The sequence below is a fragment of the Homo sapiens genome, chromosome 1 (genome assembly GCF_000001405.40).
Source record: "Homo sapiens chromosome 1, GRCh38.p14 Primary Assembly".
NCBI lineage: Eukaryota > Metazoa > Chordata > Mammalia > Primates > Hominidae > Homo > Homo sapiens.
The window spans coordinates 54,485,303-54,497,388 of NC_000001.11; the positions used below are offsets into that span (position 1 = coordinate 54,485,303).

A 12,086-nucleotide genomic window follows, 5' to 3' on the forward strand; every position below is an offset into this window, starting at 1 on the left:
GAACAGGGCATGGCTTCTCTGAGAGGTGGGTTCATGCTAGATCCTGGTACCATCCTCACACCCCAGGGACCTCTAGTGTCTGCCTCTCCTTAGCACAAGAGATGTTCTTTAACACACATGGAAAGAGATCTTAATTCTTTTTAATTAGGAGGATACAAAGGGAGAAGTCAGGAGACTGCCCCCACCCACGGTTGGGAGACTAAGTGCTCCCCAGATTACACAGCAGATGCCAGGGCTCCAGCAACAAGACCCAGCTTGATAGCTTTGTGGTAACCACAGCCAGCACAATTTTATTTTATGTTTTAACTCCTCAGTGATATATAGACCTCTCACAGGCAGGAGAAATGGCATCCAGAACTTCTCCCTTTAAAAAAAAATTATTTTTGAACTTGCGCAACACACGCCCAGTTTAATTAACCCTTTTGTCAGGAAGCTTGGTCTGCCCCAGGCAGTGTGAGAAAACTGTTTCTGCTCTGTGCGGTGGGAGTAGTACAAAAAACGTGTGCCAGCTTGGGCACTGCCTTGACCTGGGACCCGTGGCTGCCCCCGAGCCTCTGCACCCTCTGGGTCTTCACTGGACAAATCACTCTATGGGCAGTTTTATGTGCCTCCTCTGGGGTCTCTATTTTTTTCTGCTTTTAAAATTTCAGCCTCAGTTGCACCACTGGCACCCCAGCCTGGGTGACAGAGTGAGACTCTGTCTCAAAAAAAAAAAAAAAAGGTCAGCCTCCGGTGCCGGAGTGCCTGTTCTATAGGAGACTCTGCATCGCATCTCTGCACCCCTTAATCCCTATTCCCACACAGCCTTGCTATTCATAACTGGAACCACAATGTATGTTTCTTTCTCTCTCTCTCTCTTTTTTTTTTTTTTGACAGAGTCTGGCTCTGTCGCCCAGGCTGGAGTGCAATGGCACAGTCTCTGCTCACTGCAAGCTCCGCCTCCCGGGTTCAAGCGATTCTCCTGCCTCAGCCTCCCAAGTAGCTGGGATTACAGGTGCCCCCACCACGCCCAGCTAATTTTTTTTTTTTTTTTTTTTTTTGTATTTTTAGTAGAGACAGGGTTTCGCCATGTTGGCCAGGCTGGTCTACAACTTCTGACCTCAGGTGATCCCCCTGCCTCAGCCTCCCAAAGTGCTGGGATTATAGGTGTGAGCCACTGCACCCGCCTGGCAACCACAATGTTTCAAAACAAAGCTCACTTCTGATCCCTTCCCACTCCCTCATCTGCATGTACTAAAGGGACTGAGGAGCCCCCACCCCACCACACCCCACCTCACCATCTCTGTGTCCATTCCTCCCTGGCCACACTAACTCTGCTTAACGTTGCTGGTATTACTGCACCTCTCTCTGCCCTCTGGTCTCTTTGCTTTTTAACACTCAGCTCTGTTCTGTCACTTCTTTGGCCAGAAAGCTTCAGGTCCCCCACTCCCCAAATTGTCTGAGGGATAAAAAGCCCCAGCTTCTGCCCCTCCTAGGCCTGGGTCCCAAGACCTAGCCTATTCCTAACCCCTTTATGTTTTCCACACTCCATTCATTCAATGTGCAAATATTTGTTGAGCCCTTACTATGTGCCAGGAATTATGTTGGGCATTCAGGAGATTGTTGATGCACAAATGCACAGAAACCAAGTGTGTTTTGAGAGCTCAGGGGTTCAGGGGCTCTGAGGAGGGGCACCGAATTGAGAGAGGGACTGGGCTGCCGCCAGCTCTCTTCTCACTGGTTTCCTGTTTACCATTAGCGGCTGCCCATCCCTCCTTAGCGCACAAATGCCCAAGTGAACCTTGGTATGTTTTCAGACCCGCAGCTCAATCACAAGCATGAAGCAGGCGAATTGAAATCCATCTTTAGCTGCCTTGAAAACCTGCACAGGACCCCCTTTAGATTCTCCCTGCCCACGCTCTCCCCAAGTTCTGTCTTCCTCTCCCCGTTTTGAGGACATATGGCCCCTTGAAGTTTTTGTTTGCTTGCAGTAGGGGAAAAACAGCTTTAAGTGTAGAGGGTTTTTCCTTTTTTTTTTTTTTATTAAGCATCAAGAGACACAGCAATCTGCTTGGAGATAGTGTACGTGCATAATTAATAAAATCGCATTATTTATTTATAAAGAGACACACGAGGAACGGGAGAATTAGGGCTATCCCCATTATATATGAAGAGAGGGAGAGAGAGTGGAGAGGCAAAAATACTTTTTGAACATTAGATCCTTTCAGAGAAGTGTCTTTTAATATGCAGTGAATAAAACGGCCTGTACTCCTCATGGAAGTGGTGCCCTGTGCCCAGAAGGCATCAGAAAGCAGAAACCTGGTTCAGGGGCTTAAAAAAGGAACGGGATCGATGTGGCGCTCGCAGTGCCCAGCATGCCGGCGTTGGGTAGTTGGCAGGAGAGCAAGAGAGAGAGGAGGCGCGGTTGAGGGTTTGGCCGCTGGGAAAGAGGATTGAGAGCCAGTCCGGGGTTTCCAAAAGAGAGGGACTTGGGGCACAGAATCTCTGGCAGGTGGGGGAGAAACGGCTACCGTCACCCCACTGGGCACCGCATGAATAACCCAGATGTCGGCGAAGGGGAGCCCCTGGTTTCGATGAGCCCACTGCAAGCCAGATCCCATGAACTTGGTGGTGAGGGGGTTTTAGATAGCAGCTTTGCCCTTGGACCTCTGCATCCCGGATGCCCGGGCAAGACCGCCAATATCAATAACCCAACTTATTATATAACAGCCTCGGAGACCGGGAAGCAGGGGTCAGGTCCTCCCAAGCTTCTAGAGCTGTCGGTGGACCTTCTCTCTCCTTGTCTCTCTCCCTCTGATTTTTCTTGAGACAAGCTTTAAAATGGAAAACAGGCTTGTGCAGGAACCAAACACACAGACAGGGGGTGGTTTGTAGGGATTTTTCCCCCCACCTCCCTCGAGGACAAGCAACTCTTGCAGCGCCACTCTCGGCCTTCGCCGGGCTGTAGGCTCGGCGCCTGGGGCGGCGCTGGGGGGGCGGTGTCGGCCCGGGCAGCAGCCTCCGCAGGGTTACCCGGGCGCGTGCAGGGAAACGTCTCAGCAATTCCAGCGCCCGAGCGGAGCGCGCGGTGGGGGTGGGGGCGCGCGGCGCGGGGCACCTTGAAACCGCCGGCGGCCGCGCGCTGATTGGCCGAGCCGCCGCCTCGGCGTTCCAGCCAGGCGCCCCTCCCCCCGCGCCGTCCACCCCGGAAGGAATTTCCTCCTCTGGCGGCCGCTATTGTTGTCCACCTTCGCTGTTTGGGTCGGATCGCGTAACCATAGTATCCAAACCGTGTCCGCGCGGGGCCCCAGCCTGGGACCCCTGTGCCCTCACCCCCCCAGCCTACCCCCCACTTTTTTTTTTCTTTTTGCAGCCTACTTATCATGACTTCATCGGACTCCGGGGAGCGGGAAAGGGGGTTGGGGCGGGGGGGCGGGGAGTGGGCCCGCTTCTGGCGGCCCTTACTTCGAGATGTTTTCAATTACAATTTTTTAAAAAGTCTGCTTTGTGGGTTCAGGGCTTAAAAATTCTTCCTACTTGCCCCCCTCCCCATGAAACCGTTGGACCAAACTTGAATGGGGGTTTCCTTCTTTTCCCCTTTACCGTCTATGCTCCAGCCCCTGACTTTACGGCTCACGGCTGGGGGTGGGGGAAATTCGCAGCAGGAGTCGCCCCCCTCAAACGCTACCCTTCAGATCATGGCTGTGTCCTGGCCCCTGGGCCTGGGTTTGAGCTGGGGAAGCGAGGCTGGTGGTGGGGTGGAAACATCACGCACTGCAGTACCCCCCACCCCGGGGCGCTTCCTGGCGGGGTTGGGGGATCCCCGGAGATGGATCTGGGGTAGGTGGTACGGGGTGGATGCCCATCAAATATCGGGGAGGGGTGACGGGGATAAAGGGGAGACGGGGGAAGCAGCTGACAGGTTATTGGAAGAACAAGCCCCCTCGCCCCTCGAATTTCTCCCACGGGTCTCTGAGCTCAGACATCCTAGTCCGCGCAGGCAGCCCGAGCCGAATGCCTGCTCCCAACCCCGGCCAAAAAAAAAAAAAAAAACCAACCCCAAACAAAAACCCTGTGCCCAGAATTGCATTCGGCTGGGAGAGGTGGGGATCCAGCAGCAAGTCCGCACCGAGCCGGCTGCGCGCAGCGCGGGAGCCCCCGGGCTGGGGCCGGCAGCGGGGGGCGGTGTGTGTGCGGGGGGGTGTCCAACATTCCCAGAACTCAAGTATTCTCCCGGCGCTGAGCCGGGCGGGGGCAGTGGCGGCCGCGGCCCAAGTTCGGGGCAACACTGCCCCCTAGGGGCCGCCGCCGGAGGTTTGCAGCTGGGGCGGCGAGGGGTCTGGAGGTTTGGGTCTAGCCCTGGGACCAGGGACTTGACTTTGGCCCTCAGTGTTTCACCGGCCAGCGGAGCCGGGGAGTTACCTGGGCAGGGCTACCGTGACCCCCTGGCAGACCAGTGACAGGCTAGAGGAGAGCCTTCAAGTGCCAATTTAGGGAGCTGGGGAGATATAGTAGTAGGGTTTGTATTTTTGCTCTAGAATTTAAAACTTCGGCAGACAGTTTCCCATAGGCTCTCAGTGATGGATGGGAACTTAAGATCATTGACTGAGTCCCCTCATTGTGCAGTTGGGGAAGCTGAGGCTCAGAGAGGGGAATGATTTTCTCAGGGATATGAGATTTGAATCTAGTCCTCCTGGTTGTCATCTGGGGCCCCGTGGATTTTTTGGGCTCACGGAGTCCTCTGATTCCTCTGACACTGATGCCTTCCTGTCAGAGAGGCATCACCGCTCTCATTTTACAAACGAGAAATCAGAGAGGTCTGGACTTGCTCAGTCAGCCCTTTTTTTCCCCCAGCCCTCTAGACCATAGGGACTTGGGGGACTTGAACCTTAGGGTCAATTAGCAGGCCAGCTTTCTGCTCTGGGGCCCTGTGGTATTCTACAGTCATCCCTGCCAGAGCCGGGTTAAGGTGGCTGCTCCAGGCTGGTGGCGGGGCAGGGGTAATCCAACAGCAGGGTTGAGTTTGCTGAAATCTGGGCTCTTGGCCTCTAAACAGCTGCCATCTCCGGGCCTCAGTTTCCCCATTTCTAGAATAGTTGGTAGCAAGAGGATGGAGAAGGCGTCTGGCAACTCCCAATGGGTGGTGACACAGTACGGCCCCGCCTTCCTGGTCTGCCACGCCCTCTCCTCTCCTTCCCTTCTAGGTTGGGGTCTGCAGGCTGGCTTCCTCCCGCCTTCCCTTCCTCCCTCCCTGCAGGGCTCCTGCAGCCGCCCCTCCCTCCCTCCCTCCCTCCCCTCCCCTCCCCTCCCCTCCTGGCAGGCGCAGAGCTGACTGCGGGAGGGAGCCATAGGCACGGAGCCAGCAGAGCGTCAAGTCAACCCCTGGGGAAGACGGGGTTGGGGCGCTGCTGGCTGCTGCTGAGGCGCTGTCAGAGGCTGCAGCTCTGCGCTGGCAGGGGCAGAGTCCGTAGGGGTTATTTGTGTCCAAGGTAACTGGTGTCCGAGCTTGCTGCTAGCATCCTCCCTGTCCCTAGAGACCAGGGGAACTGCTCTGGGAGTCATCTGGAGTCCTCCCTCTCCCTCACTGCCCACGAGCACTCAGGCACCAAGTCTGGGCCTTTCTCCCCTTAAATATCTCTCATCCCGTTTCCTCAGCCACTGTCCCCTGATCTCCCAGGGACTCTAAACTGTCCCCTCAAGGCCTTCCTCCAACACTGTCTGGGAACCTCTCCTGTGAAGCCCGGCCTGGCCCTGCCTCCTGCTGCCCTCATGGCCAACCCTCTGGCACCTGGACCTGCCTGCCTCTGCAGCCTTATTTGGAGTCTCTCCCTGACACAGATTTTCTGTCTTGGTGACATTGCATGTGACTTCTGGAGCCTGCCACGCTCCCTGGGCTCACACAGGTCATCGGTCAGGTCCTGCCCGGCTTTGGGGAGACTGAGGTGGATAACTCCAGCCCTTCTCTGCAAACAGCCCACAGACCTGTCGGGGAGACCCTTAGCCTGGTCACGGAATGATTATTGGCAGAATGGGGTTTTAAGAGGACTCTTACCCACCCTGGGGGGAAATCAAGGAAGACTTCCTGCAGGAGAGGGGGCTTGTGCTGAGTGCAGAGAGAGGAGTAGAGGTAAATGGGGAAGACTCCAGGGAGAGGGAGCTTGGTGGGTAGGCACAGTCCTGAGAGAGCATGACTCCTAGGGCAGTGATAAGACAGTGTAGCTGAGGTGTAGAGAGAGATGAAGCTGGAGGGAGGCGGGTCCAGGTGGTCCCTGTGTGTTGGCTTAGAGCACTGGGACTTCCATGTGCAGGTCACCGGGAGCCACAGAGGGCCCTGAGCCCTGGGCTGGACTGCATGTTGGGAACACTCTCCCTCTTGAAACCAGTTCCTGGGGATGCAGAAGTGACTTTTTTTTTTTTTTTTGAGACGGAGTCTTGCTCTGTTGCACAGGCTGGAGTGCACTGGCACGATGATTTCAGCTCACTGTAACCTCTGCCTCCTGGGCTCAAGCGATTCTCCTGCCTCAGCCTCCTGAGTAGCTGGGACAAAGGCGCCCGCCACCATGCCTGGCTAATTTTTTTTTTTTTGGAGATGGTGTTTCACTCTTGTTGCCCAGGCTGGACTGCAGTGGCACGATCTTGGCTCACTGCAACCTCCGCCTCCCGGGTTCAAGTGATTCTCCTGCCTTAGCCTCCCAAATAGCTGGGATTACAGGCACTGCCACCACACCCAGCTAATTTTTTTTTTTTTTTTTTTTTTTTTGAGACAGAGTTTCGCTCTGTTAGCAGGCTGGAGTGCAGTGGCGTGGTCGCAGGTCACTGCAGCCTCTGCCTCCCAGGTTCAAGCGATTCTCCTGCCTCAGCCTCCCAAGTAGCTGGGACTATAGGCACACGCCACCACGCCCAGCTAATTTTTGTATTTTTAGTAGAGACAGGGTTTCACCATGTTGGCCAGGAGGGTCTAGTCTCCTGACCTCGTGATCTGCCCACCTCGACCTCCCAAAATGCTGGGATTACAGGCGTGAGCCACTGCGCCTGGCCTGTATATATATATATATATATATATATATATATTTTTTTTTTTTTTTTTTTTTTTTTGAGACAGAGTTTCACTCTTGTTGCCCAGGCTGGAGTGCAATGGCACGATCTCAGCTCACCACAACCTCCGCCTCCCGGGTTCAAGTGATTCTCCTGCCTCAGCCTCCTGAGTAGCTGGGATTACAGGCATGTGCTACCACGCCCAGCTAATTTTGTATCTTTAGTAGAGATGGGGTTTCTCCCTGTTGGTCAGGCTGGTCTTGAACTCCCGACCTCAGGTGATCCACCCTCCTTGGCCTCCCAAAGTGCTGGGATTACAGGCGTGAGCCACTGTGCTGGGCCTTTAATTTTTGTATTTTTAGTGGAGACAGGGTTTCACCATGTTGCCCAGGCTGGGCTTGAACTCCTGACCGCAAGCAATCCGCTCGCCTCGGCCTCCCAAAATGCTGGGATTATAGGTATGAGCCACCACGCCCCACCCAGAAATGATCCCAGCCTATCTTCTTATTTCCTGCCTCATTCCAGAAAGGAGCTACAAGGGCACCAAAGAAGAATCAGATCTGGTTCTTGCCTTCAAGGAGCTCGCAGACGGGGGTAGGTAAAGAATAAAGTGGCTCAAGGCAAAATGAAGAAAGCACAGAGAGAACTTTCTAAAAGATGTACCTGGGTCGGGTGTGGTGGCGCATGCTGGTAATCCCAGCACTTTGGGAGGCTGAGGTGGGAGGATTACTTGATGCCAGGATTTTGAGACCAGCCTGGGCAACATAGTGAAACATTGTCTCTACAACAATAAAAATAAAAAAGAAAATAGAAGACATACCTGGAAGCCCTGTTAATCCCTCCTTTAAATCTCTTCTTTGGGACGAGTGCAGTGGCTCACACCTGTAATCCCAACACTTTGGGAGGCTGAGGTGGGTGGATCACCTGAGATCAGGAGTTTGAGATCAGTCTGGCCAACATGATGAAACCTCGTCTCTACTAAAAATACAGAAATTTGCCAGGCATGGTGGTGCACGCTTGTAATCCCAGCACTTGGGAGGCTGAAGCAGGAGAACTGCTTGAACCCGGGAGGCAGAGGTTGCAGTGAGCTGAGATTGCACCACTGAACTCCAGCCTGGGGGACAGAGTAAGACTGTCTCAAAAAAAAAAAAAAAGAAAAAAAAATCTTCTTTGGCTCCTGTCTGCTCCGGTGGCTGTTCCATCTCCTCTCAGTCGCACCCCTCTCATTCCCTTTACTCCAGCCAATTGAGTTATTTGCAGTTCCCCCAATATACCACATTCCCTCTACCCAGCAGGTCTGTGGCTAATATTGTTTGCTTTGCCTTGGATTCTGTTCTCCAGGCCTCTTGCCCTTTCTTCATTCAACTGTGGCTCTTTCAAGGTGCCACTTAAGGCATCGCTGCCTTCAGGAAGCCCTCCTTGATGCCCAAATTTGGGTTTGGTTCCTCCTTTGAACTACCATTGTCCCTTGTGCTTCCTTTGATCATAGCACCCATCCTAACATAGTTTAATCATCCTCAGGAGATTGGCAGCCTCCATCTCTGACTCACCCTGGGTCTCCTGCAGATCATACATGCCTGGGCTCAGAGTAGATGCTCAGTTTTTTTGTTGTTGTTGAAGACTGTGCATAAGCTGCTGCGAATAGTAATAATAATAATAGTAACAGACATTTATTTACTGCTTGCTGTGTGCCAGGCACTGTGCTAGCCACTTGTCATATGTTGTTTTTCCTCCTTATTTTTTTTAGAGATGAGGTCTCGCTGTGTTGCCCAGGCTGGTCTCTAACTCCTGAGCTCAAGCAATCCTCCTGACTTGGCCTCCCAAAGTGGTGGGATTACAGGCATGAGCCACTGTGCCCAGCTGGTTTTCCTCTTTTACAACAACCCTATATGGTTGATAATATCCCATTTTGTAGATGGGGAAACTGCAACTAAGACAGGGAAAATGACTGTCAAAATGACAAAGGTATTTGTCAAAACTCATTGAATTATCTGAAGTTAAGATCTATGGATGTAAATTACACCTCAATTTTTAAAAAGAAAAAAAGCCAAGAGAGCAACTAAAGTGTATAATATTCCTTATGTCTGAAAAAACACTGAGAAATAGTTATTTTGTTATTACAAACCAAAAAAAAAAAGAAGCACAGTTGGTGAGTGGCAGGCCAGAACTTGACACATGTAGCCTGTCTCTAAAGCCCTTGTTGGCCAGACCTGATTCTAGTCCCCTGTGCCATCTGGAGGGCCCAAGGAGGCTTCCCAAGGAAATGTGGTCCTTACAGGATGTGGGGGGCCATCATGCTGAGAGAAGGCATTCAAGGAAGGTGTGAAAGTCCATGGCATGTCAAGGCCAGAAGCTTAGTCTGACATGGTGTCATCGTTAGAAGCATGAAGGGGAATAGTGGTGAGGTGAGACTGCCCAGATCAGCTGAGTCCAGTTGTGGAGGGCACTGAACGCTCAGATAGAGTTGGAATTAGTGTCCAGAGCCAATGGCTTCCATAGAGCACTGACCTGAGCTGGTTTTAGAGGAATTGGTGCTTTAGGGGTGGAGGGTGCTGGTTGCTGGCCAGTATTTGTTGGTCTGGATTTGGAGGGGCCAGAGCTGAAGGTGGGGGGCAGCCAGGGCACAGGGGCTCACAGAGGAAAGGTGAAGGCTGCGTCAAAGGCTGGGGTGGGAGTCCCAGCAGGGCTGGAGGATACCCGAGGCCATAGCATCAGATGGAGTAGCAAGGCTGGCTGGTGCAGCCGAATTCGGCATTTAGCAGAGATGGTATTGGGGTGAACTCAGGTAGGGAGGAGGCCAACACGGTGGCCAAGACCCAGGTCAACACCTGGCCCTTCCGCTTACTTCCACAGCTGTGTGACCTTGGACAATATAAGCCTGTTTTCTCTGAAAAAGTGGACATACTAATAGTACCCACATCATAGAATTATTCCAAAGATTAAATGAGCTGATACAGATCTCTAAGTGCTATGCCAGGCTCATAGAAAATGAACACATATTGGGTTTTTACCTTCTTCTCACCCCCTCCCATCCCTAATCTCCTCTTTCCATGAGCGTTCACTCCAGCGAATCTCACTTATGACCTTAAATATGCATGTGTCTTGGTAAAAGATGTTGTGTTGTTTTGGGTGCTATAGGTCTCCTCTAGCATTTTCCCCCCGACTCAGCTCTGCGTGTTTGAAGATCTCGGTGTTGCTTCCAGTTGCCATAGAGTTTCCCGCTTGCACGTTCACTACATTTTACTCATCCAATCTCCAGGGGATGGACATCTCGGTAGGTTGCAGTAGCTCAGCCTGTTATCCCAGCACTCTGGGAGGCTGAGGCGGGCAGATCACTTGAGGTCAGGAGTTCAAGAGCAGCCTGGCCAACACCGCGAGACCCCATCTCTAGCAAAATACAAAAATGAGCCGGGCGTGGTGGTGTGCACCTGTAATCCCAGCTACTCAGGAAGTTGAGATAGGAGAATTGCTTGAACCCAGGAGGCGGAGGTTGCAGTGAGCTGAGATCACGCCACTGCACTCCAGCTTGGGCGACAGAGGGAGACTCTGTCTCAAAAAAAAAAAAAAAAAAAGATGGACATCTCTGTTGCCTCCAATTTCCTCATCTCACAAACGAGTACTTGGCAAAACACCCTTAGACATGTCCCCTGCGGACCTGTGTGAGAACTGCCCTGGGATATGCAGGGGCGCAATGGCTACGTGTGGGACATGCACATACTTAATTTTGCTCAATATTGTTAGGCTGCTTCGAGAATGACGGAATTATATTGCACCCCACCAGCGGTACATAAGGGTTCCCACCACCCCACATGCCTGCCAGCACTTAGTATTATCCACCACTCTAATTTCTGCCACCGTGATGGGTATAAAGTGCTAATACATGAATTTTGTGTTTCTTGGTTTATTACTGAGTGTTGCCCAACAAGTGTATGAAGAGGTACTTACACTCACTAATAATCCAGAAATTGCTTGTTATTCTGTGAATTACTTTGATGTCCTTTGCCCACCTTCTGTTGGGTTTCATCATGTTTGCCTGTTGGGTGCTCCACAAACAATTGCCATTGAAGGCAGCCTCTGGCAGCTGCCTCAGAGCAGGTCAGTCCTCTAGCCACGGGGTGGTCAGGTTGGCTTCATGGGCCTGAGGTCTGGCAAATGATCCACCTTGATCCAAATGGCATCTGCCATTTGAATTGCTGTCATTTCATAAACCTTTCCTGAGTGCTTACTCTATGGTGGGCCCTGTGTAGGCCCCCAAGACCCAAATAAGTCAGACTGCCCTGCTGCTAAGAATTCATAGTGCAGTGAGGCAGACAGACTAGACAGAATAGAGTTATTCTAAAGATTAAATGAGATGATGGATACAAAGCAGTTCCCCACAAGAGACCCTGTCCTACTAGATGGTCCGGGCTTGGGAAATGGACAAAAACATGTATCACTGCACCAGGGAGTCCACACCAACCTACTAAGGAGACTAAGGAGGCAGCTCTGAACTTGGAAGACCCTTGGTTTATATTGAGCATCCTGAAGGGTGCCTGGGGCTGAACTCAAGGCAAGGAACCCTAGAGAACTGCTCAGCTTAGCTGACAATAATTTGAATTGGGGGTGGAGTTGGGAGGAAGACGTAGAGAGAGGAGATAAGAGATAGGGTGAGGTATGCAGAGTGAAGAGGCCCAGGCATAAACCTCAGCCATGAACAGGGATGTCTAATATTCCATTCAAGTCACTTGAGATGCTCCTCTGTCTCCTTAAGTCCTTAGCAGAGCCCACATGCCCTCATTTGCCTTAGGTGAGCATTTTGTGGAAACTGAGGAAAGGAATGAGTTTCTGTGGAGGTCATGTGGCTTGTGACAGAGTCGGCCCCCACAGGATGGTGAGAGAGTCCAAAAATTGATCAAATACAGCAGAAGCAGGAATTTGGAATCAGAGGTGATCATGGAAATATAAGTCAGCCCCTGAGGGATTTGCAGAAATGGGGAGGCGTTAACTTGCAAAGATGAAGGGAGGGTTTGAGGTGGTCTTATTTAGATCTAAGCGGGTTTTGTAGCAAATTGTATTTTCCAAAAATGGTCACA

General features: G+C 52.1%; 5 annotated features.

The window, feature by feature from the left end:
* Positions 2,418-2,936: an enhancer, noted in NCBI's record as "H3K4me1 hESC enhancer chr1:54953393-54953911 (GRCh37/hg19 assembly coordinates)". NCBI's record gives its function as "activates a minimal SCP1, AML or CMV promoter by ChIP-STARR-seq in naive H9 embryonic stem cells {active_cell/tissue: H9 hESC(naive)}" and the evidence as "EXISTENCE:reporter gene assay evidence [ECO:0000049][PMID:30033119]".
* Positions 2,908-3,217: a silencer, noted in NCBI's record as "silent region_918". NCBI's record gives its function as "represses an Ori minimal core promoter by ATAC-STARR-seq in GM12878 lymphoblastoid cells {active_cell/tissue: GM12878}" and the evidence as "EXISTENCE:reporter gene assay evidence [ECO:0000049][PMID:35858748]".
* Positions 3,983-4,193: a silencer, noted in NCBI's record as "fragment chr1:54954958-54955168 (GRCh37/hg19 assembly coordinates)". NCBI's record gives its function as "represses an EF-1alpha promoter that drives an FKBP-Casp9 reporter gene in an ReSE screen in K562 erythroleukemia cells {active_cell/tissue: K562}" and the evidence as "EXISTENCE:reporter gene assay evidence [ECO:0000049][PMID:32094911]".
* Positions 3,983-4,373: a biological region, named in NCBI's record as "ReSE screen-validated silencer GRCh37_chr1:54954958-54955168".
* Positions 4,004-4,373: a silencer, noted in NCBI's record as "silent region_919". NCBI's record gives its function as "represses an Ori minimal core promoter by ATAC-STARR-seq in GM12878 lymphoblastoid cells {active_cell/tissue: GM12878}" and the evidence as "EXISTENCE:reporter gene assay evidence [ECO:0000049][PMID:35858748]".